Source organism: Homo sapiens, chromosome 21 (genome assembly GCF_000001405.40).
Source record: "Homo sapiens chromosome 21, GRCh38.p14 Primary Assembly".
NCBI classification, from domain to species: Eukaryota; Metazoa; Chordata; class Mammalia; order Primates; family Hominidae; genus Homo; species Homo sapiens.
In genome coordinates, this window is record NC_000021.9 from 46,184,543 (window position 1) to 46,209,181 (window position 24,639).

Genomic DNA, 24,639 nt, shown 5'->3' on the forward strand with positions numbered 1-24,639 from the left:
TGTGACGGGCACCCACCACCACCAACCCAGTGGGCCGGCCACACCTCCAGCCCTGTGACGGGCACCCACCACCACCAACCCAGTGGGCCGGCCACACCTCCAGCCCTGTGACGGGCACCCACCACCACCAACCCAGTGGGCCGGCCACACCTCCAGCCCTGTGATGGGCACCCACCACCACCACCATCCCAGTGGGCCGGCCACACCTCCAGCCCTGTGACGGGCACTCAGGACCACCAAGGGCACTCAGGTGCAGATGCCCCTGGGAGAACACCACCTTCATTCAGCCCGGGCGGCCAGATTAGGGGAAGGTTGCTTCTAGGAGAGAAAGTCTTGAGTCAGGCTTTGTGGAGAAAGGAGGTTTCTACACCCCAAGCGTTCCTGACACAACCCAACCAGCCTGGTGTTGCACCACAGGGCTCACACCTCAGATCAAGACAACGGGGGCCCAGCCACAGCCCACTGACGAGGGCATGCAGGGCGTCCAGGATGCAGGGCAGAGAGAGAAGCGAGGGATGAGTCACGGATGCGCCCCCCGCTCTGAGCCCGACGGGGCCCTGAATGGCTTTTCCTGCCCTGGCTCCTCCCATCATATTTTAAATGCCGTCTTCCTCCCGCTCCAAGGAAACCTTCTCTTGACGTCAGGTACTCTCCAGCCACGGACCTATCAACATTCTGACAGTTTTCTGGTCTTGACACATTATCCTTTTAATATAGCGCTGGATTCAATTTATTAATATTTTAAGTATTTTTATGCTCACAGGGGAAGTCGATCTGAATCTCCTTTTCTTGTGATGTCTCGGTCTGGCTTTGGAACACTGGCCTTTTAAAATGAGCCGCAGAGATTCTGCGCCATTTTCTGGGTGTTCCTTCTTAAACGTCGGATAGAATTCATCTGTGAAGCTATCTAGAACTAGATTTCTTCTGGAAAAGTTTTAAATTTCTAAATCAATTTCTTAAATAGATACAACGCTACTTATATTTTATATTTTTCCCTCATGTGCGTTTTGCTGACAATTGTGGCTGTCAGGTAGTTTGTTGATAATAGGGGAGGCTGTGCATTTGTTGGGGCAGCGAGTGGGGAAATCTCTCTATCTTCCTCTCAATTTTGCTAAGAACCTAAAACTCCTCTTAAAAAAGTCTTGAAAAAGACAAAAGCACGAAGGAAACCAGAGAATATTTCAAGTTGAATGAGAATAAAAACATGACATTAGAATTTGTGGGGTGTAGTTAAAGCTTGATGCCCGTGCTCCACAACCACAGGAAATGGACAAACCCTACCAAAGTTATCAAAAGAGAAGGACACCCCATCTGTAGAAAACAGTCAGAAGATTAGGCAGATGTGGTGGTGCGTGTCTGTTGTCCCAGCTACTCGGAACACTGAGGTGGGAGGATTGCTTGAGCCTGGGAGGTCGAGGCTACAGTGAACTGTGGTTGCGCGGCTGTGCTCTAACTTGCGTGACAAAGTGAGACCCTGTCTCAATAAAATACTTTAATTAATGAAACTGAAACTTTCTGCTCTGCAAAGAATGTCAAGAAAATGAAAAGACAAGTCAGAGACTGGGAGAATATTTTTGAAACGTCCTGCAGCAAAGTGGTACTTTTTTGAGACAAGGTCTTGCTCTATTGCCCAGGCTGAAGGGCAAGTGGCATGATCACGGCTCACTGCAGCCTCAAATGCCTGGGCTCAAGAGATCCTCCTGCCTCAGCCTCCCAAGCAGCTGGGATTACAGGCGCGCACACCCACACTCAGTCCCAGAGTGGTCCATTTGTTACAGCTGATGAATCTACATGGACACATCGTCACCACCCAAAGCCCACAGTTTACAATGGGGCTCACTCTTGATGCTGCACATTCTCTGGCTTTGGACAAATGTATAATGACCTGTATCCACCATCACAGTGTCAGGCCAGAGCAGTTTCGCTACGCCTATAGTCCCAGCTACTCAGGAGGCTGAGGCAGGAGAATGGCGTGAACCCGGGAGGCAGAGCTTGCAGTGAGCCAAGATCGCGCCACTGCACTCCGGCCTGGGCGAAAGAGCGAGACTCCGTATCAAAAAAAAAAGAAAAGGCTGAAGACCTTAACAGACACCGCACCAAAGAAGATACACAGTTGTTAAATAAGCATATGAAAAGATGTTCCACATCATATGTCATCAGGGGAATGCAGATTAAAACTACCAATATACCTTTTAGAGTGGCCAAAATCCAGAACACTGCCACCACCAAATGCTGCTGAGGACGTGGAGTAACAGGAACTCATTGTTGGTGGGAATGCAAATTGGCACAGCCACTTTTGTTTGTTTGATTTCTTTTTTGTCTTTTTTGAGACGAAGTCTCTCTCTGTCACCCAGGCTGGAGTGCAGTGGCACAATCTCGGCTCACTGCAAGCTCTGCCTCCCGGGTTCACGCCATTCTCCTGCCTCAGCCTCCCGAGTAGCTGGGACTACAGGCGCCTGCCACCGTGCCCGGCTAATTTTTTTTATTTTTAGTAGAGACGGGGTTTCACCGTGTTAGCCAGGATGGTCTTTATCTCCTGACCTTGTGATCCGCCCACCTCGGCCTCCCAAAGTGCTGGGATTACAGGCGTGAGCCACCGCACCCGGCCCCTTCAGCCCATTTTTTAACCAGGTTGTTTTATTGTTGGGTTTGAAGAGCTCTTTTGGATACTGATCCTTTGTCTTTTTCAAATATATTCTCCCAGTCTCTGACTTGTCTTTTCATTTTCTTGACATTCTTTGCAGAGCAGAAAGTTTCAGTTTCATTAATTATTTTATTGAGACAGGGTCTCACTTTGTCACGCAAGTTAAGAGCACAGCCGCGCAACCACAGTTCACTGTAGCCTCGGCCTCCCAGGCTCAAGCAATCCTCCCACCTCAGTGTTCCGAGTAGCTGGGACAACGGGCACGCACCACCACACCTGCCTAATCTTCTGACTGTTTTGTACAGATGGGGTTTCACTGTTATCCAGGCTGGTCTCCAACTCCTGAGCCCAAGTGACCCTCCCACCTTGGCCCCTCAAAGTGCTGGGACTACAGGCATGAGCCAGAAATGTATTATTTTAATGAAGCCCAACCTATTAATGTTTTCTTTCGAGGATCATGCCTTTGGTGTCATATCTAAAGAGTTACTGCCAAACCCAAGGTCACCTAGATTTCCTCCTATGTGATGTTCTAGGGGTTTTATAGTTTTGTTTTACATTTAGGTCTCTGATTGATCTTGAGTATGTCTAGATGTGAAGGGTATGTCAAGGTTCATTTTTTTTTTACAAATGGAGTTTGTTTCAGCATTTGTTGAAGGCTGTCCTTTCTCCATTGAACTGCCTTTGCTCCTTTGCCACTGATTTTCAATTCAGTTTAACTCCACTGTGGTGGGGGAGGATGCTGTGTGTGACTTCCGTCCTTGCTAACATACTGAGACTCACCTGGTGAGCCAGCTGTGGTCTACCTTAGCACATGGGCCACGAGCTCTTGCAAAGCCGTGTGCTTCAGCAGTGTTAGGTGAAGCATCCTCTAAAGACCGCTCGCTTGTGTTGGCTGATGTTCAAATCTCTGTCCTTACAGATCTCATGTCTGTCAGTTACAAAGTACGGAAAGCACCCGTTAAAATTCTGTTTTTATCTCATTCTCTTCAATTCTGCCATTTTGCTTCATGTATTTTGAAGCTGTTATTTAGTGCATATACATTTGGGGTTGTTATGTCTTGATAAATCGATCTTATCATTATTGTCTCTTTACTCATTTCTGGTACCGTTCCTTGTCCTACCGTCTATGTTGATATTAAAAATATCAAGAGTCTGAAACTTTACATCATAGTGAACAAAGAAAACCTAATATGATGCCAGGGAAAAGATTTCAGGATGTTCAAAATCTGTTCCTGATAAAAATAATCTGAATTCAAAAATCTTTCATGACTGATTTTTAATCACACTGAGGCAAATATCCCCCTCAGACAGAGGCTGCACCGGTACAGCTGCCATCTCCTCTTGGTGGTGTCCTTTGTCAAGAGCATGTCAGGGTGATGAGTCATCTGGGACAGGTCACCCTCCCAGCACCGAGAAGCCGACGGGGGAGGAACAGACTCCTCTGCATTGTGATCCAATTGTGAACAAAAAGTCCTCTTCGTGGAACAGGAAAAATACACTCCCTCTAAACAATGGATTGAACACAGATGTGATTTCTAAAGAAGACTGAAGGCAGGGATACTGACACTGAAGTCCTGCCTGTGTAATAACACCGAAGAGGGCAGGGAATCGCTGCGTCCTGTGACTTGAAGGCCACTGTGAAGGAAAACAATGCAGTGAAAGAAAGTTCCTCCTATGTGGACATTGTATCACGTTTATTTATCTTCCTGGATATGCTTATGGCCTTTAAAACATATTAAAATAGGCTATGCTATTATCTCTTAAAATATCTGTTTTCCCTCAGGTAACTGGAGACGCACCCTGCTACTCCTCACGTCACTCTTGTTCCCTAAACCAGGCTGGGCCTCCCACTCGCCCCACAGGCAGGTGACGTATGACAGCCAGAAACCCCAAATCTGCAGTTCTCCCCAGGATGAAACGAAACACAGTGTGACAGGCTTCTGATAAGGGAATCAATGTCTGTTTATTAAGGCAGATGCTCATAAAAGTGACTTTCAGTAACATTTTCAGTATAAAAATGGATTTACATTTCATTTCTGGAAAACCGTTTTGTACAGTCTGACCATGGCTAGGAGTCCCAGGGACAGCAGCCTCTGCTCAGGGCAGACTCTGTGATTCACTGTCTGTCCTGCTGCTACCCCACGTGGGGGAGAACACGTGGGCTGAGAAAAAAAAACAGCATGTGCAAACCTGACAGATGTCAAGGGTCCCAACACAGTTCCTTCAGCGAAAATAAAGCCCAGTTTTAAGATGTGCAGGGAAGTGTTGACACTGAACAGGCAGCTGACCAAGCCCTGCAGGGCTCTGAGCAGGCAGGCGAGTCCCAAGGAGAGTCAGTGACAGCACATGGGGCAAGGGAGCTGGACAGAAGACCCCAGAGGGTGCGGCACCTGGGTGAGAGCCCTGGACTGCACACCAAGGCAGAGGGGTGCCCCTGAAGGACTCTGGGCAGGCAATGACAGGATCTGAGGGTGTCCAGACGCAGATCTCCACTGCCTGAGGGAGAGTGATCAGCCAGGGGGAGAGGCCAGGGACTGCTACCTGCCCAGAAGGCGGCAGGGAGGGGAAGAGCAGATAAGGAGGTATAGGGTGTGCCCTGGGCAAGGCAGCAGGGGTAACGAAGCTCTCAGTGACTCCTCCCAGTAGCCAGGGGAGAGCAGTGACAGTCTCAGGTGGCCCTGAGCATGTGAGCTGCTCATCCACATCAGGCAAAGGCAAAGCCAGGACCTGAACTTCCCACCCCAAGCCCTACATCCATGCAAGCCAGACCAGACTGGGTCAGAGGCTAGAAGGGAGCTCACAGGATTGCCTGGGGAAGCCTCGGCCCAAAACCTGGCCCTCGCTCCAGCCCAGAGCACCCACCTGGGCATGAGACTGGCGGCAGCCGTAGGGGTGCCCTGGGTATATGCCGGGCTCCCAGGGTGCCATACCTGCCAGCCAGCCCAGGGAGTGGTGATGGGCTGGGTGCTGGCTGTCCCTGCACATAGCAGTGCCCCGCGGCAGTAACTACAACTGCTGCCTGCCCCTCACCCCTGGTTATGCTCGGCCTCCCCTGTGCATTTCTGTGTCCGTAAGTGTCCCCTGTGCATTTCTGTGTCCACAAGACTACTATAAACCCTGTAGACACCTCACAAACAGCATTCCACGCAGGTGGGTTCATGTCCCAGGGGCATGGGGCTCCCTGCTGCACAGACTTGGGATGTTCCATGACAGACCCTGCATATGCAGGCGAGCTCACAACCCAGGGGTATGCGGCTCCATGACACCACCCCATACTCAGGCGAGCTCACGACCCAGGGGCATGAGGCTCCATGACACCACCCCATACGCAGGCAAGCTCACGACCCAGGGGCATGGGGCTCCCTGCTGCACGGCCTCAGGATGCTCCATGAGCAACCCCCGCACTGGGCTATTCACGGATGCACACTACCTGCCATTGTCACAGGGTTGCCCTCGTGTCCCTCAGCCCAGCAGACAAAAGGTGCAGGAGAAGCCTGCCCAGGGCCGACCCCAGCCCAGAGCCCACTCGACACTAAGGAATCACACAGGCACAGCTGCTCCTCTCCCAAGAACTCAGCTATTGGTCAGAAAAAACCTCCTAGCCTCACTACCTTGAGGCCGTGCCCAGAGGTGGCAGAAGGCGCTGTGCCTCCTCAGGGGTCACGGCTCCTGTGCCCCCTTCCTCACCCAAGCCCGACAAGCTACTTTCAGAAATGAACCTACAGTAAAAATCAAGAGTCTAAGCCACCCACCCTGTCCCCATCCCTGCCTCCAGCCTGGCCCCCAGATTCACATCTATGAGATAGAGGTTGAGGGGTTGGAGCCCAAGACAGGGTTATGGGAGGGCTCCCCAACCCGGCCAGGACCCCTTGGCCTCACTGGAACGCACAGACGGCACCCAGCAGGTAGGCATGTTCTCAGGGGTGGCCAGCAAGGGCTCTCTCAGGGTACAGCTGGGAGAAGCGGCCGAGGGCCCAGATGGGGAAGATGTTCCTGTAGCTCGTGTAGGAGATGGCACAGGACTTGTTGAAGACCCCAGCAATGTTTTCCTAAAAGAACACAGAGAAATAAACACAAAGGCTTCACCAGTCAGCTGAGGGCTAGTCCCTGAACTGGAGCCCTGGCTGTTGGCTTGGCTGGCTTGTGGGTGAGTCAGCCTGGAAAGGGCTAATTAAGCAAGAGCATAGGAAAGCAAGTAGTCCATCCCGCATCAGTCATGGCACCATCAGCCCAGCTCAGACTCCCCGCCCTGCAGCAAACCCTAAGCCAGGGTCACCAGCCCCTCACAACCACATCAGCTTCCACCAACTCAGCCTCATCCCAGGGGAGGGCGGTTGGCCTCACATGACCTCATGACACCCACACCACAGGGACTTCTGGCTCAGTGAGGGGCCACTAGGTCATCTGGAGTGGGAGGGTCTGTCCTGCAGCAAAAAGGCTTCCCGCCCACTGGCTTCTCCCATCCAGCTCCTCCCCCACCCAGAGCATCACTTGAAACAACAGCAAGATCTGGACTTTAGGACCCGACCACCTGCCACAGACCTGCCACCAACTGTGGCATTCACTGGCAGAGGTGACGCCTCCCAAGTGTCCAAAGTACCCCAAAAAGGACACAGAGCAGGGGGACGTGGAAACAGCCATGCACGCTGGAGGTCAGTGCTGGGCCTTGTGCGCTCAGGTCCCTGGCGGCATACCTGCGGCCAGTCGCCATTGGGGAGCTGTTTCTCAAGTAGACACCGGACTCCTCTCTCCTGGGCCTCGATGTCAGGATGCCTGGTGGAAGAGAAGGCTGAAACACACCCAGCATGCATGCCCCCACAGCATCATCCTCACCCTCACACAGCCGAGCATAAGGGCAAACCCTGGAATGCTGCAGTGAGAATGGATGGGTCTAAACTGACGCCCACAGGCCCCGCCAGGTGCAGCCAGCGCCTCGGGCTCTTGCCACACCTTCTTCCTAGGCTCCCTGAGAAGCGGAGCCACAGCAATGACAGGCTGGGGACACAGGCCTCCTCAGGCCTGCCCTGGTGTTCCCCCCTGAAGAGGACGCCAAGCCTTGTTCCCAACTGGCCCACTGGTCCTCATGGGCCTCTGGAGACCCACAGGAGCTCACACTTGCTTGCTGGCCAGGATAAGACACCAAGAAGGATCCAGGGCTCAGCGGGCCCAGCTCAACTGTGGGTCCCTGACTGTCCTGCCCTCAGGGGTCCCCCAGACCCTGCTGCTCCTGCTCAAGCAGACCTGCCCTAGCTTTTAGGGTTTTAGGAAGATTCCCCAAATGGCCACAAACCTAATAGGGCAGCACAGACGGGATGTTGCGGGTGCATCTGTATGTATGTGTGCACAGGTGCCTGTGCATGTGTACATGTGTGCATAGACCTGTATGTACATCTGTCTCCATGTACGTATGTCTGTGTGGCACAGATGCGATACTGCGGGTGCATCTGCATATGTGTGCACAGGTGCCTGTGCATGTGTACATGTGTGCATAGACCTGTGTGTGCATCTGTCTCCATGTACGTATGTCTGTGTGTGGCACAGATGGGATACTGCGGGTGCATCTGCATGTGTGTACACAGGTGCCTGTGCATGTGTACATGTGTGCATAGACCTGTGTGTACATCTGTCTCCATGTACGTATGTCTGTGTGTGGCACAGATGGGATACTGCGGGTGCATCTGCATATGTGTGCACAGGTGCCTGTGCATGTGTACATGTGTGCATAGACCTGTATGTGCATCTGTCTCCATGTACGTATGTCTGTGTATGGCACAGATGGGATACTGCGGGTGCATCTGCATGTGTGTACACAGGTGCCTGTGCATGTGTACATGTGTGCATAGACCTGTATGTGCATCTGTCTCCATGTACGTATGTCTGTGTGTGGCACAGATGGGATACTGTGGGTGCATCTGCATGTGTGTACACAGGTGCCTGTGCATGCATACGTGTGTGCATAGACCTGTGTGTGCATCTGTCTTCATGTACCTATGTCTGTGTGTGGCACAGATGGGATGCTGTGGGTGTATCTGCATGTGTGTACATAGGTGCCTGTGCATGCGTATGTGTGTGCACAGACCTGTGTGTGCATGTGTCTCCATGTACCTACGTCTGTGTGTGTCACAGATGGCATGCTGTGGGTGTATCTGCATGTGTGTACACACGTGCCTGTGCATGCGTATGTATGTGTGTGCACAGACATGTGTGTGCATCTGTCTCCATGTACCTACGTCTGTGTGTGTCACAGATGGTATGCTGTGGGTGTATCTGCGTGTGTGTACACAGGTGCCTGTGCATGCGTATGTATGTGTGTGCACAGACCTGTGTGTGCATCTGTCTCCATGTACCTACGTCTGTGTGTGGCACAGATGGGATCCTGTGGGTGCATCTGTACGTGTGTGTACACAGGTGCCTGTGCATGCGTATGTGTGTGCATAGACCTGTGTGTGCATCTGTCTCCATGTACCTATGTCTGTGTGTGGCACAGATGGGATGCTGTGGGTGTATCTGCATGTGTGTACACAGGTGCCTGTGCATGCGTATGTATGTGTGTGCACAGACCTGTGTGTGCATCTGTCTCCATGTACCTACGTCTGTGTGTGGCACAGATGGGATCCTGTGGGTGCATCTGTACGTGTGTGTACACAGGTGCCTGTGCATGCATACGTGTGTGCACAGACCTGTGTGTGCATCTGTCTCCATGTACCTATGTCAGTGTGTGGCACAGATGGGATGCTGTGGGTGCATCTGTATGTGTGTGGACACAGGTGCCTGTGTGGGCATGCGTACGTGTGTGCATAGGCCTGTGTGTGCATCTGTCTCCATGTACATCTGTGTGTGCACATCAGTGTGTACACTGATGCCTGCCTGCATGCGTCTGCGTGTGTGTGCACCTGGCACATATGTGGCTCAGCACCAGCTGTGAACACAGTAGGGCCACAGAGAGCAGCTGCTGTGACCGTCATCACTACCACACCAGGAAGCAGCATCCTCATCGCAGCCCACCTCGCTGTTTCCATGGGTCCCTGATGTGCTTGCTCTTCCACTGACATGGCTAATGGTGGGTGGTTCACTTCTAAGAGGCGAGCCTCTCTGCAGGGCCCCACTTGGTCAGAGCAGCCCACGTTCTTGCCCCAGGAACCAGGCATGTGGCTCTTGTAGGTGTCTGTTCCCAGAGTGGCAGCTGACCTGGCCCACAGGCCTCCCCTCCTCTCTACATTCACTCAGCCCAGGCCACCGGCTCACAGCTGAGTGTCCCTCCTCTACCCAAACCCAAGGCTCAGGGACGGTCCCGTCGTCCCCACCGAACGGCCATCAGCCCCATCATGGCCCAGCATGTGTTATGGATCTGGGACTGGGCACTCTGCAAATAACGCCGCTCCTCGCAGGACTCAAAGTCCTCCCCCCAGCCTCCGTCTGCCATCTGCCGGGACAGCAGGAAGTCACAGGCCCGGGAGACCTCTGCACAGGCAGTCCTGCAAAGACCAGAGACAGGAGACACCATCACACCAAGGAAGGTCCCAGACCCCTGGCTTCTCACCCCAGCAGGCTGCCTTGGGGTACGGGGAGGAGCCTGCACGATGGGGCCACCCTACCTAAGGGCCATGGGCCACTACTGAAACCCGAGCTTGACTTTTGCAGATGTGAACTGGGAACAGATACTCCTGCCTCCCAGAGTCGCTGGGAAGACAAAGGGACATGCGAGTACCGAGGATGGCCTCACGGACGCGTCAGGCTGAGTGAGGTCTGCAGTGCTTGGGAGCAGCGTCTCACAAGCTGCACTCAGCCAAGCACGGTGCTCCCCACCTCTAAACATCCACACGGCAGACTCTGGGAGACAGTGGGGCAGCTGGAGACAGGGCTGGGAGAGAGTCCGGCGGCTGGAGACACGGCTGGGACCGGAGATCTCCTGCCTTCTAACCCGCTCCAGCGAGGCCGTGGACCCTAATCTTCCTACTCAGGGTTGGGAGGCATCTGTATGCCTGGAGGGGCCGGAGACCAGAAGCGTCCCTCCAGCATACATGTCAGGAAGCTCCAGAGAGCTGTGGGACCAGGGAAACATCTTCATTTCAACCGGGGATCTTATCTCACTGTTTAAAAATATTAAAAACAGGCCAGGCACATTGGCTCATGCCTGTAACCCCAGCACTTTGGAAGGCCGAGGTAGGAAGACTGCTTGAGCCCAAACCAGTGTGAGCAACACAGCAAGACTCCATCTCTACATAAAAGTTTTAAAAGATTAGCCCGGGGTGGTGGCGTGCACCTGTGATCCCAGCTACTCGGGAGGATCGCTTGAGCCCACGAGTTTGAGACTGCAGTGAGCTAGGATCATGCCACTGCATGTCAGCCCGGTTGACAGAGCGAGACTCCGTCTCAAAAACAAACAAACAAACAAACAAACCCTAAAACCAAATGTCAAAGCAAAAAACACTCATGACAGAGCATTGGGTTGAGAACCCCCACCCACCAGAGGACAGGCACTCACTCACCCATCTCGGTAGGTCTGCCCCATACAGGCGAAGGCCTCCAGGCCAAACCAGGTGCCGTAGGTGAAGCAAACTCCCCAGGAGCTGGAGGGAAACAGGGAGAGCCTCAGCCCTTCCACCCTGTTCACAGCCGGTGTGTGAAACAACACGCATTCTGCAACAATCACACGTGCCCCAGCCAGCCCACCAACTCCAGTGCCTCAGGCATTAAGGCCGTGGAAGACAGCAGCTCTGTCTGCTGGACCCTAAGAGCAAGCAGAAAGGGTGGAGGGAATAGCCACGCTCAGGCTACAGCGCGCTCCCAGCAGCCCGGCTGCGCCCAGCAACGTACTGAGCAATTTCCACCGGGGCAAAGGCCACGCATGCCACAAAGGAACGAGGTCCCCCAGAAGTCACGGGCTGGCAGCTCACTTCCAGAAACTTCTGGTGTAGCAACAACATACAAGCCAACATTTATGAACGCAGTGTGTGAGAGCAGAAACCTGTGGATCCCGTGCATCTCTGCACTCACGAGTGGAGGCTCACTCACCCTTCCCAGGAGCCATCGGCCCTCTGCTGCCGCCGACAGAACTCTAAGCCCTGCGTGAGGGTCTCCCTGGAACACGAGATTGGTCCAGTGAACATTCTGGTAAAACAGCAGTTTACCTATCCCAATTCCATCCTTTCCAGGGTCTCAAAAGAATGAGAATGGTCTCCCTTAAAAACCACATAAAAATAAACAGTTTACACAGACCGATGAGGGTTTTAAAAAGAAGCAACCACAGGACACCAGAGCGGGAAGCGGATTGGCAGAGTCTGAGAAAGGGACGTGAGGGGAAAGCAAGGCCTTGGGAAGCCCCTGCAGACACAGCTGCAAACAGGAGCAGCATCCCTGAGATCCAGTGACCCAGGCTTGAGCAAACCCAACAAAGTGAACTAAATAAAAACAGGAAAAAATCAATTAGAGAGAAAACAATAGATTTAGAAGACAAGACCCATCCTACATCTAACTGATATTTCCAAAAAATAACCAGTTCTCTGAAAAGGCCAGAGCGAAGTGTCTACTCCAGTGTCACCCTGTGGGACGTGGGACTTGTCTTTAACCAGCAGATCACGGCAGGGTTGATGGGTGCGGGTCCTGGGACCGAGGTCTGTGTGACCGCGACTCCCATGGTGCTAGCAGACTCCCTCTACCAACTCTCCCTTCTCGCTTTTGTGAAGATGCCATCTAGAGAGGCCCCGCAGCAGACGGTAGTCGGCAGCTTCCAGCTGAGGAATGGGATCGTGCCGAGGACCCTGTGTGCTCAGAGGCAGATCCTTCCTCACTGGAAGCTCAGGCGAGACCCCGGTCCTGGCTAACACCCTGACTGAAGCCCGGAGAGACCCTGAGGCAGAGGACGACCTGCGAGGCCGCGCCTGGACTTCTGACACACAGAAACGGTGAAGTAATCAATGTGTGTTGTTCTAAGCCACTAGGTTTGTACTAATATTGTTACTCGGCAACAGGTAACAAATACAAATAGTCAAAGTACAAATTAGTAATATTAGCAATAAAAAGATAGAACTACAGATATGGTGAGAAATGACAAGAAAGTTTTATGTATTACATTTGCAAACTTAGAGAAAATATCTACAAATTAGAAAGATTAACTTATCAAAACTGGCTCAATCAAGAAATAGAGAACCTAAACAGTCCTAAAACTACTAAAAAAATGAGTCAAAATGTAAACTTTTCCCAGAAAAAAAACTCTAGGCCTAGGAATTTTATAAATGAATGCAACTAAATTATCAGACACACTCATTCTAATCTCACACAAACTCTTCCAGAGAACAGAAAGGAGGAACACTCTCTAGCTCATTCTAGGAACCCAGAGAAATAAGATATGGAAAAGTGAAAATTTCAGGCTCACTCATGAACACAGATGCAAAACTCCAAATTAAAACTGAGAAACTGCTGCCGGGCGCAGTGGCTCACGCCTTGTAATCCCAGCACTTTGGGAGATCGAGGTGGGCAGATCACGAGGTCAGGAGATTGAGACCACCCTGGCTAACATGGTGAAACCCCGTCTCTACTAAAAATACAAAAAATTAGCTGGGCATGATGACAGGCGCCTGTAGTCCCAGCTACTCGGGAGGCTGAGGCAGGAGAATGGCGTGAATCCGGGAGGCAGAGCTTGCGGTGAGCTGAGATTGTGCCACTGGACTCCAGCCTGGGAGACAGAGACTCTGTCTCAAAAAAAAAAAACAAAAAACAAAAAACAACTGAGAAACTGAATACTGTCTTAAATATAGACCAATACTAAGGTCGATCTCAGAAATACAAAGGTGTCTTAACATTAGAAAAATCCATAATAATCCTCTAAATTAACAAAGGACACAAATATATAATCATCTCAAAGCAGACGGGAGTTTGAGACCAGCCTGGGCAACAGAGCAAGATCCCATCTCTACAAAAAAATTGAAAAATTAGCTGAACGTAGTGGCACATGCCTGTGGTCCTAGCTGCTCAGGAGGCTGAGACAGGAGGATTCCTTAAGCCCAGGAGTTTGAGGCTGCAGTGAGCTATGATGGCACCACTGCACTCTGCCTGGGCAACAGAGTAAGACTGCGTCCCTTAAAAAAAAAAAAAAAGGGTCAGTTGTTTTCCTACCAGCAATGAACAATTAGATTTTGACATTTAAAACACAACGCCATTTACATTAGCACCAAAAAAATGAAATCCTTAGGTATAAACAACAAAATATGTACAAGATCTATATATGATGAAAACTACAAAATTCTGATGAAAGAAATAAAAGATCTTTCCAACTTGAGCTACAGATTCAATGTAATCCCAATCAAAGTCTCAGCAAGTTATTTTGTAAACTATTGACAAACTGACTCTAAAATGTATATGGAGAGGGAAAAAACCTAGAATAGTCAAAACACTATTGAAGAGAACACTGAAGTGAGAACAGGGGCGGTAACTGACTGCAAGGCCTACTACAGAGCTACAGGAACCAAGACAGTGTGGGATTGCTGAGAAGAACAAACAGATCAATGCAATGGAACAGAGAGCTCAGAAATAGACCCATGCAAATGCAGTCAACTGATTTTTTACAAAGAAACAAAGGCAACAAAATGACCCAAAAAGAGTCTTCTTGACAGATGGTACCAAAACAACTGGACATCCACATGCAAAAAAAAAAAAAAAAAAAAAAATCTAGACACAAACCATAAACCCTTCACAAAAGTTAACTCAAAATGAATCATGGACCTAGATGTAAAATGCAAAACTTTAAAAATCCTAGAATATAACACAGGAAAAAATCTAGGTACCCTTGGGCTTGGCAGTAACTTTTTAGATACAACACCAAAAACATGATACATGAAAGAGAACATTGATAAGCTGGACTTCCTTGAAATGAAAACTGGCTCTGCAAAAGATACTGTTAATAGAATGAAAAGACAAGACACAGGCAGAAAATATTTGCGAAAGACATATCTGATAAAGGACTGGCAGCCAAAATATATGAAGAACTAAAACTCAACAATAAGAAAATTTAATTTAAAAATGAGCCAAAGACTTTAAAGGACACATCACTGAAAAAGATACACAGATGGCAAATAACTATATGACAAGATTTTAACATAATGTCATTAGGGAATTGCAAATTGAAACAAGGAGATACCACTACACACCTCTTAGAAAGGCTAAAACCCAAAACACAACAGCAAATGCTGGTGAGGATGTGGAGCAACAAAACGCTCATCATTGCTGGTGGAAACGCAAATGGTGCAGCCACTTAAGATACAGTTTGGCAGCTTCTTACAGAACTAAACACACTCTTACCATAGGATCCCGCAATCATGCTTCTTGGCATTTACCCAAATGAGCTGAAAACTTATGTGCACGCTAACATTGATAGCAACTTTATTCATAGTTGCCAAAACTTGGAAGCAAGCAAGACATTCACCTTAGTAGGTGAATGAATAAACTGTGGTACATCCAGACAATGGAATATTATTCAGCACTAAAAAGAAATGTGCTATTGAGCCATAGAAAGAGACTCAGGAATCTTAAATGCTTCTTACTAAGTGAAATAGGTCAGTCTGAAAAGGCAAAACTATGGAGACAGTAAAAATATCAGTGTTTGCTACTAAGGGGTTCTGGAGGCGGGGACAGCGCAGAGGACTCCGGGGCAGTGAGATCCTGTGTGACACTGCAGTGGTGGGCACGTGCATCACACATCTGTGAAACCACAGAATGAACAACATGAAGAGGAAGCTGAATGTAAACAATGGACTCTGGACGATAATAATTTATGAATGTTGCAAACGCACCACTTGAATGCAAGATGTTAGTACTGGGGAAACTTGAGGGAAGGTGCGAGGAGTTAGCGGCTTTATGGGAACACTGCATCTTCCACTCAAATTTTCTGTAAATTTAAAGCTGCTATAAAAGATAAAGTACATAAATTTTTTTAAAAGTTTAGCAAAATTGTCTAGCTATGAGATCAGTATCAAAATCAATTGCGTAAGAATCTATGCGTCCACAGTGATAAATAAGTAAATAAACAGAGGCAAAGGAAAAGCTTTTGGAAGAACACCAACTAATACATATGGAAGGAATGATAATTTTGTAAGCATTATGCAAATAATTGATTCAGGCAAGAATCATCATCAAATGCTAACACTAACAGGTATAAGTATGATGAGAAATAGGACGTTTACATAGTCTAAAACTGTCTCCCCACAAAGAAAAAAAAAGCAACTTCATAGCGGAGAAACTAAGTACAGCGGTCATCACCTTAATCAAGGGATCAAAGTTGGTGTGTGCTTCCTGGTAAGGTGCAGGAGAAGGCCCCATTTCTTCTGCAATCTTCCTGACAAAAATGTAGTTTCATAACCTGAATCTAATCACGAGACACCAGAAAAAAAAAAACACTGAGGATATTCTACAAAATAACTTGTGGAACAATTCAAAAATGACAAAGTCATCAAACACAAGGAAAGATTAAGGAATTATTCCAGGTTAAAAGGGTGTCAATGTGATAACTAAATGCAACCCATGTGCACAGTGAGAAGGGTAAGGAAAACAGAAAAAGAAAAGAAAAATAATTAAAAATAAACAAATGCAACCCATGATATTGGATTAAAGCTTGAGGGAAGATTTTGCCATAAAGGACATTATTGGAACAATTAGGCCTGCAGATTAGTATTTCATCAACATTAACATTCTGACTTACACTTGCACAAAAGAATACACCTGCTAAGAAATACTCAGGCAGTTAGGGGTACACATCCTATCTGCAAATTCCTTTCCAATGGTTCAAGAAAGAATGGGCCTGGATCATGTGGGAAGACAGGTAATGAAGCCCTGAGGGTAGAGCCTGGATCATGTGGGAGGACAGGTCATGAAGCCCTGAGGGTAGAGCCTGGATCACGTGGGAGGACAGGTCATGAAGTCCTCAGGGTAGAGCCTGGATCATGTGGGAGGAAGGGTCATGAAGCCCTGAGGGTAGAGCCTGGATCACGTGGGAGGACAGGTCATGAAGCCCTGAGGGTAGAGCCTGGATCACGTGGGAGGACAGGTCATGAAGCCCTGAGGGTAGAGCCTGGATCACGTGGGAGGACAGGTCATGAAGCCCTGAGGGTAGAGCCTGGATCATGTGGGAGGACAGGTCATGAAGCCCTGAGGGTAGAGCCTGGATCACGTGGGAGGACAGGTCATGAAGCCCTGAGGGTAGAGCCTGGATCACGTGGGAGGACAGGTCATGAAGCCCTGAGGGTAGAGCCTGGATCACGTGGGAGGACAGGTCATGAAGCCCTGAGGGTAGAGCCTGGATCACGTGGGAGGACAGGTCATGAAGCCCTGAGGGTAGAGCCTGGATCATGTGGGAGGACAGGTCATGAAGCCCTGAGGGTAGAGCCTGGATCATGTGGGAGGACAGGTCATGAAGCCCTCAGGGTAGGGTGCCACCCACTAAAGAATTCTAGTCAGAGTAAACAGGAGCACTTTTCAGTATTTTTGTAACTTTTCTATAAATTTGTGAATTTAAGGGAGAATTTAAGTCTGTCTAGTAAAATAGAATATTCCATATAAATAGTGTTAAAGTAACTTGCAACTCCAAACTGTATCTCAAAAACTCTCCAGGTAAGTTTAAAATCTTTTTTTTTTTTTTGAGACGGTGTCTTGCACTCTCGCCTAGGCTGGAGTGCAGTGGCACCATCTCGGCTCACTGCAAGCTCCACCTCCCGGGTTCACGCCATTCTCCTGCCTCAGCCTCCCGAGTAGCTGGGACTACAAGCGCCCGCCACCACGCCCGGCTAATTTTTGTATTTTTAGTAGACAAGGTTTCACCGTGTTAGCCAGGATGGTCTCGATCTCCTGACCTTGTGATCCACCCGCCTCGGCCTCCCAAAGTGCTGGGATTACAGGCGTCAGCCACTGCGCCCGGCAAGTTTAAAATCTTAATATAGGCCGGGCGCGGTGGCTCACGCCTGTAATCCCAGCACTTTGGGAGGCCGAGGCGGGCGGATCACGAGGTCAGGAGATCGAGACCATCCTGGCTAAAACGGTGAAACCCCGTCTCTACTAAAAATACAAAAAATTAGCCGGGCGTAGTGGCGGGCGCCTGTAGTCCCAGCTACTTGGGAGGCTGAGGCAGGAGAATGGCGTGAACCCGGGAGGCGGAGCTTGCAGTGAGCCGAGATCCCGCCACTGCACTCCAGCCTGGGCGACAGAGCGAGACTCCGTCTCAAAAAAAAAAAAAATAAATAAAATAAAATCTTAATATAAAAATCACACTAATATATTTAACCATTTAAAAGTTAAAAACTTATGTTCATACTCCCTAAAGAGATAAAAAGAACAAAGAAATTGAGGGGAAAATATCTGTAACATAATACACAAATACTTACTGTGCTTAAAAATGAAAGAAAAAACTTCCTGGTGAAAATTTTAAAAATGGCTGGGTGTGGTGGCTCACTCTGTAATCCCAGCATTTGGGGAGGCCGAGGTGGGAGGATTGCTTGAGCCCAGCAGTTCAAGACCAGCCTGAGCAACATTTAAAAAATACAAAACATTTAAAAAATTAGCCACAGGTGATGGTATGCACCTGTAGTCCCAGCTACTCAGGAGGCTGAGGTGGGAGGATTGCTTGAGCCCGGAAGTTTGAGACTGTGGTGAGCCATGATTTTGCTACTGCACTCCAGCCTAGGTAACAGAGTGAGACCCTGCTTCAAACAAATAAACAAAAAAAGAATGTTCTAGCTTGGAAGTCACCAAAGAAATGCAGAGGAAGCCCGCGATTAAGTCACCATTGCTCCCCTGCGGGCCACATCCGGGACTCATTGTTCTACACAGTGACAACAACTGACATGTGCTTCCCTGTGGCATCTCACACAATCCCACCACTCTGTGAGGCTGTACTGTTGCCCACTCAGGCAGGGAGAGAGATGAGCAGAGAAGAGAAGTCACCAGGCCAGGTCAGACAGCCAGAAGGGGCAGGGATGGGGGCTGACCCAGGCAGGTGGACCCCAAGCCATGTGGCTCTAGGGAATAATAATGGTCATGAATAAATATTTAACAAGAAAATACCAGTTAAGGTTAAAATGGGGAAAAGCTAAAAAACAACAAGGAAAACTGAAAAATAACCCAGAGGCTACTGAGTAAAATGACACAACACCTGTGCCATTACTGCTCGTGCTGGAGGAGCGCGCTCAATGGTGGGGCTTTTAGAAACCTCACCAGGCACAAAGTGGGCCAGGCGTGAAAGGGGCAGCAAGCCGCCATGGAAATGTGGAGACCAAACAGCAACAGCAGATTCTCCTTCAGGGGCGAGGAGGGGCGACTTAGCTTCTTCTTTGCGCTTCTCTGTATTTTGCAAGTCTTGTTTGCAAAGAACCTGCTTTACTTTTATTACAGTGATTTTTAAAAGATGATCTATTTTTTAAAAGGCCAATTCTCTAAATGTGGCTGAGGACAACTCACGCCCACCTCATGCCGCAGAGCAGCACATGGCCGAGGGCCACGCCAGGCCGACAGAAGACCCTGGACACAGTGCCCTCCTAGCTGCACCTGTGAAGCACAAGAAAACCCCTGCTCCATCCACGGCTTCCAAAAAAACCACACCAGAACATTCTCAGATTGTAAATGAAGCAGCATACTCCCACATAACTCATGGGCCAGAGAAGAACAGTAGAAACAGAAAACACTTTTAGTATCTGTGCTACCACAGCAAGCACCAGAACACACATTTAACTGAATGATATCTCAAAACTCATTTATAGCCTCAAATTCATATTTCAATAAAAGCCTGAAAATCAAATATCTAAGTATTCAAGTTAGAAAAATAAAGGAGAAAGAAAATAGCAAAGGCCAGTGTGGTGGCTCACACCTGTAATCCCAGCACTCTGGGAGGCCAAGGAAGGTGGATCACCTGAGGTCAGGAGTTCAAGACCAGCTTGGACAACATGGTAAAACCCTGTCTCTAATAAAAATACCAAAAAATTGGCCAGTCATGGTGGTCAGCACCTGTAGTCCCAGCTACTCGGGAGGCTGAGGCAGGAGAATCGCTTGAACCCCGGAAACGGAGGTTGCAGTGAACTGAGATCACGCCACTGCTCCCCAACCTCAGCAACAGAGCAAGACTCCATCTCAAAAAAATTAAGAAAGAAAGAAAATAACAAACAATAGAAATTGATGAAACCAAAAATAAAGTCTCTTTAAAAACAGAATCAAAGACTAAGATTTTTTTTTTTTCAAAAGATCAGTATAAGATTCTCAGAAGGAAGAGGAGGATGTCAGCGTTGGGCTCAGAGCCATCTAAGAGGACACTGAACAACTTTGCATGAATCAGTGTAAAGCTGAGTGGAAATGGGAAGACTCCCCAGACTGATACAAAAATGGAAAATCTGCTCAGTCCTATAAACTATTAAAGAAATTACACCGCACTCCAGCCTGAGTGAGAGAGCTAGAACCCATCTCAAAAAAAAAAGAAAGAAAGAAAGAAAGAAAGAAATTGAACTTCTAATTTAAAAACTTTCCTCAAAGAAATCTCCAGGCCCAACTGGCATTTCCGGTAATTTTTCCCAAACATTTAAGGCAGAAATATTATGAATATTACATAAATTCTTCCAAAGAGTATTTTAAAAGCATTTTCCAACTGCTTTTCTAAGTCCAGCATCATCTTAACAGGAAAACCTGACAAAAACATTATAAAGAAAAAAAAATTATAGACCAGCGTCTCTTGTAACCAGAGTTGCTAAAATCCTAACAAAATATTCTTCAAATTGAATCTAGCAATATATAAAAAGGACAGTGCATTGTGACCAAGGTGAGTCTACACCAGGTTGAACAAAAGTAAAAAAATGTAATCGTGATAGGATAAAGAAGAACCTACAAAAATCACATACCCTATAACGTACCCTCTAACACAGCAATGCCACTCCTAGGTACGTGACCATGAGAAATGGGTACCCAGGTGCCCCCAAAAGATAAGTACAAGAGTGTTCACAGTAGATGCTTCATAATAACCCAGACTGAAATCCTCCCAGGTGCTGAGAACAGGCAGCTGGATAGCGCGGCATCTGTGTTCAACCGAAGGCCCGAGGGAGAGAACGCTGCTGTTACCCGAGCCACCTGACTAACCGCGAGCAGGAGAGCAGGAGAGCAGGAGAAGGCAACACGAATTCCACACCTCAGGAGTCCACCTAGACAAGATCCAAAGCGAGCAACAGACACCCACGACCTGGCAGGCATGTGGGCGGCCCCGTCATGGGGCGGGCCGAGGGCTCTGGTGGTGTCACCATGTCTAATGCTGGCACTGTTCGCTTCCTGTTTGCTTCAAGAAGACCAACCTGTACACTTTTCTGAATACTTGCTACCCTTCAACAGGAAAGGTTACTTAAAAACCGTTTCTGGGACACCGGTGGAGTCAGGTATGTGATGTCTTCTTAACATTATTAAAAGAGAGAGAAAATCCATTTTTGTATCATAACTGTGCTATTCTGAGCCCCTAACAGATATTTTGTATGCTTTAGGGCATATGACTGGATTCCACAACATCCGAAGCCTCTTGCATGTTTCCATGAGTTTCGCTTCTGAGATGGGCCACCAGGGCCGTGTCACAGAATGATGCGTCTGGGTCTTGGCCCCCGACTTGGCAGCGCCCACACTGAATGGCTGAGACCCTCCTTACCGGATCTCCGCTGCCCTGTGCTCCGGGAAACGCTTGTGGAAATACTTAAGCGCCTGCATCACGGCTGAGGTGCACTCCACATAGGTGTAGTCAATCATGATGTCCCCTGGGAAAGGGAGGGAAGAACCAAGTGTTGGGTTTCACCCTGGCTGCCCAGGCTCTGCAGCTCAGGCAAAGCCACAACAAGCAAGAGTGTTGCAGTGAGCCCGGGCCCGGACGCTGCCTCCCTGACCAACCTCCAGAGCAAACGCCGGCTGGTCCAGGACACACACCTGTGCTACCTGAGAGCGAAGATGAGGGGAACACAGCAGAAAGCTGCGACCCCACCCCAAAAAGCCATGTGTGATGTGGAGGGGACCAGGAAGGCGGGTATGTGAGGTGCCCAGAGGTGGACCAGGGCTGAGATCCTCCCCCAAGACCAGTACGGTGGCAACCATGCACACACAGCAGCCTACTGCCCATGGCATGGGTCCCCACAGTCCCCACAGTCCCCAAAGACACCTCCCTGCAGGCGCTCTGGATACACAGCAGCCTCCACAGAACACAAGCCCTGTGGACTGAGCAGGAACCAGCCCAGGCTGTGGATCTCACTGGAACCCTCCACTGTCCCCTAGGTCTGACCTGATGCCCTCCTATCCACAACACAAGGATCCTGCCACCCCGGGGGATGGAGGAGCGCAGAACAGCCTGGGCTGAGGGAGGGCTCCAGACAGATCTGCCGGTGAACCTGGGCCCTTGCAGCCTCGGGCAAGGGGGAAAAGCTGGCCCCCAGGTTTGTGTACCACAGTGCTAGCCAGCCCCGGGTTTGCGCGCCGCAGTGCTGGCCGACCACTCACCGAAGACCTCCGAGGGGTTCAGCAGCTCCAGCAAGTGCCCCCCACGCTTGGTCTCATAGGTGGCGAACCCTCCATCTGGATTTCTCATGTTCAGCAGCTGAAATCACAGAGAGCACCCTAGAACTCGCCCATGTGCTGAGCACACACAGGCGCCCAGGGCACAGCGGAACTCTCTAGAGGCAACACTAGGGCTGACAACCGATGGGGCAGGAACAGGGGGCGGAGAGCTGATTTCCACGTTAACCAAGCCCTCGGGTGCCCCAAGCAGCAGCTGCAACCTCATCTGTCAGGGCCTCCATGCACAGCCACCAGGGAACATGCCCCCACACGTGCCCATGACTTAGAAACCAAGTCTGTGCTGCCAGAAAAGGGCAGGGTCTCCACTGGGAAACACACACAAAAGCCAGATGTGCTGAAAGGATGTGGCACCAAAACCAACACCAACAAATTCCCTCTTCAGACACCCAGTGGAAACCACCAGAGAGAAACCTTGGGGGCCACGCCGGCTCCCCCAAGTATCGGTGGCTGGGCTGGACACCAGCTCCGCAGTGCAGGGCCCTGTGCACACAGCCCAGCAAGGCCCCTAGGGGTCCAGCCAGAGCTCACAGTTCTCCACATATAGACACCATCCAAGGACAAGCTCCTACGGCCTGGCCGGACTGTGTGCTGGGCTGGAGCCCACAGGAGTGGAAGTGAGCACGCAGCTCATCTGCAGGACACGAGGTATGGACGGGGCTGCTGGGACCACAGCCTTACCACAGCCACAGCATCGCAGAGCCGTTCTCTGGGGATGTGCTCGGTGACATGGGGACACTTCTCCTGCAGGAGCAGCACAGCCTTCAAGGCCTCAGCCGTGCAGTCAGAAACGATCCAGCCGCAGTCCAGCGTACTGAAGGAGAAGCCACCCTGCAGAGCACAAGCCATGACTCCAGGCTGGGGGTGTCCACACCCCAGTTCTCAGAACCTCCCCACAGCCGCACGCATCCCTCCCCACCACAGAGCACCCGGTCAGGGCAGGGGCCCAGCCACCAAAGGTGTGGGTGCAGCCAGGGCCCCAAGCTGGGTACATCCAGACAGACCTCCAGCTTCCAGCACAGGGACCCTCAGGGGTGCAGCTCACACCCTCAACACCTGCAGATCTCACGACGGACAGGATGGGGCCCAGGTGCCCCCCACCCCCATTGTAAACAGGCAGCAGCAGCTGGGTCCATGCCTAATTTCACAGTCTGCACCTGTGGTCACAGCCCACACCGGCTCTGAGGTCTACTTCTTTCCTCTGCCTTCCCCGGACACACTGGCTACACTTCGGCTGTCCTTCTGAAGCCTGTGTGTGCCGTGACCACTGGAACTGCTCTGAGGCACGGCTGTGTGTGCAAGCCAACTGTGCCTCCATGTGCCAGGCAGCTCAGCAACATGAAGCATGAGCCCCTAGGCCAGGCATCCACCACAGCAGGACACCCAAAAACGCCAAGGGAGGAGTCCCCCAGGGAGGAGCCCCCCCTTCAGAGGGAAGGACCCACCCTGCTGAGGGCGGCCTCCCCTGGGGGACGGGACAGGGATGGGGCTGGCTCCCGCATACCTTGCGCATCTGGCGGTAGTACTTCTGGTAGTCGGGAGGGTTATCTGGGACCTGGGCAGCATCGAGGGCAAATGTGGAAGCAGAGAACACGTCACCACGGGACGTCCCCATCTGGGACATCGCTGAGACAGACTGGGCAGGACTGGAGAGGCAGAACGTGCCTGGGAGCTTACTCTGCCGGCCACAGCCACCACTGGTGCTGCGAGGCGCGCGAGGGCCTGCACCTGTTTAGCTCACCACCCACAGCTGCTGGGAAACGTGACTGGCCAGCGAGGGCTCAAACCAGCCCAGACGGGACTGGGAGTCAGCACCTGACTCCCCTGTGATCTCCCCACCGGCCAGAAGGCAGGGAGGGGGCCCAGGTCTCTGCGGGTGTGCTCTGTGCCAGGCGCCCCCAATGCCTCCTGAACAACCTCAGCTTCTGGCTGCCTCTCTCACCTCAGTGAGAAGGGAAGAGGCCTGGAGTGCCGTAGGGTTCAGTCAGCCTCCCCAAGTCCCCATCACCCAGAGCAAGTCCTGGGCAGGAGGCAGGAGCAGGAGCAGGCCACCATTGGGCCAGGCACAGCAGGACAATGCCCCTCCTCTGCTTGAGCCCAAGATGGGTGCCAGCCTTGGCCACACAGAGGCCAGGAAGACCCAGAAGCCCTGCAGAACAATGTCCTAGTGAGAGCTGAAGGGAGGGAGACGGGGCTGGGGGGCAGCGGTTCCAGGCAGAGGGACACTGGCTGAGGCCGTGGCCGGGACAGGGTGTGGGAGACACGGGAGGTTGGGGCGCATGTATGGGATGACTGTGGCTGCAGACTGGGGTGCAGGCACGTGTGAGAGACACTGAGGTCAAACTATGGGCTCGGGCAGGGTCTGTGGGCAGCTGATCTGGCAGGAGGGACCGGGGCTTTTGCTGCAAACAGTCTCAGGAGGGCAAGTCCACAGG

The 24,639-nt window shown here is 50.6% G+C and overlaps 1 protein-coding gene, 1 long non-coding RNA gene and 1 other non-coding gene across 6 annotated transcripts in view, besides 5 other annotated features; 1 reads left to right on the forward strand and 2 right to left on the reverse strand.

Annotated features, from left to right (window-relative positions):
• Positions 1 to 4: 4 nt before the first annotated feature.
• Positions 5 to 4,631, forward strand: LOC124905045 (uncharacterized). Its single transcript, XR_007067914.1, has 2 exons — positions 5 to 645; positions 3,794 to 4,631. It is a non-coding gene; the product is annotated as an uncharacterized LOC124905045 (long non-coding RNA).
• LSS (lanosterol synthase) overlaps positions 3,904 to 24,639 on the reverse strand; it is a 40,329-nt gene continuing 19,593 nt past the window's right edge. For 3 of the 4 annotated variants that reach the window (NM_001145436.2, NM_002340.6, NM_001145437.2), the window contains 9 exons: positions 23,709 to 23,759; positions 22,886 to 23,035; positions 22,130 to 22,226; positions 21,294 to 21,399; positions 11,660 to 11,725; positions 11,134 to 11,214; positions 9,949 to 10,119; positions 7,339 to 7,417; positions 3,904 to 6,693 (listed from right to left, as the gene is read on the reverse strand). In NM_001145436.2, the coding sequence (NP_001138908.1) occupies positions 6,562 to 6,693; positions 7,339 to 7,417; positions 9,949 to 10,119; positions 11,134 to 11,214; positions 11,660 to 11,725; positions 21,294 to 21,399; positions 22,130 to 22,226; positions 22,886 to 23,035; positions 23,709 to 23,759 (933 nt within the window). In that variant the 3' untranslated portion in view covers positions 3,904 to 6,561. The remainder of the gene's footprint in view (positions 6,694 to 7,338; positions 7,418 to 9,948; positions 10,120 to 11,133; positions 11,215 to 11,659; positions 11,726 to 21,293; positions 21,400 to 22,129; positions 22,227 to 22,885; positions 23,036 to 23,708; positions 23,760 to 24,639) is intronic. The other variant, NM_001001438.3, reaches the window with a different exon arrangement.
• Positions 7,008 to 7,622: an enhancer, noted in NCBI's record as "H3K4me1 hESC enhancer chr21:47611464-47612078 (GRCh37/hg19 assembly coordinates)". NCBI's record gives its function as "activates a minimal SCP1, AML or CMV promoter by ChIP-STARR-seq in primed H9 embryonic stem cells {active_cell/tissue: H9 hESC(primed)}" and the evidence as "EXISTENCE:reporter gene assay evidence [ECO:0000049][PMID:30033119]".
• Positions 7,623 to 8,235: an enhancer, noted in NCBI's record as "H3K4me1 hESC enhancer chr21:47612079-47612691 (GRCh37/hg19 assembly coordinates)". NCBI's record gives its function as "activates a minimal SCP1, AML or CMV promoter by ChIP-STARR-seq in primed H9 embryonic stem cells {active_cell/tissue: H9 hESC(primed)}" and the evidence as "EXISTENCE:reporter gene assay evidence [ECO:0000049][PMID:30033119]".
• SNORD159 (small nucleolar RNA, C/D box 159) lies at positions 9,548 to 9,617 on the reverse strand. The gene has a single exon (NR_145780.1). It is a non-coding gene; the product is annotated as a small nucleolar RNA, C/D box 159 (small nucleolar RNA).
• Positions 9,709 to 10,210: an enhancer, noted in NCBI's record as "H3K4me1 hESC enhancer chr21:47614165-47614666 (GRCh37/hg19 assembly coordinates)". NCBI's record gives its function as "activates a minimal SCP1, AML or CMV promoter by ChIP-STARR-seq in naive H9 embryonic stem cells {active_cell/tissue: H9 hESC(naive)}" and the evidence as "EXISTENCE:reporter gene assay evidence [ECO:0000049][PMID:30033119]".
• Positions 10,211 to 10,710: an enhancer, noted in NCBI's record as "H3K4me1 hESC enhancer chr21:47614667-47615166 (GRCh37/hg19 assembly coordinates)". NCBI's record gives its function as "activates a minimal SCP1, AML or CMV promoter by ChIP-STARR-seq in naive H9 embryonic stem cells {active_cell/tissue: H9 hESC(naive)}" and the evidence as "EXISTENCE:reporter gene assay evidence [ECO:0000049][PMID:30033119]".
• Positions 16,785 to 17,311: an enhancer, noted in NCBI's record as "H3K27ac-H3K4me1 hESC enhancer chr21:47621241-47621767 (GRCh37/hg19 assembly coordinates)". NCBI's record gives its function as "activates a minimal SCP1, AML or CMV promoter by ChIP-STARR-seq in naive H9 embryonic stem cells {active_cell/tissue: H9 hESC(naive)}" and the evidence as "EXISTENCE:reporter gene assay evidence [ECO:0000049][PMID:30033119]".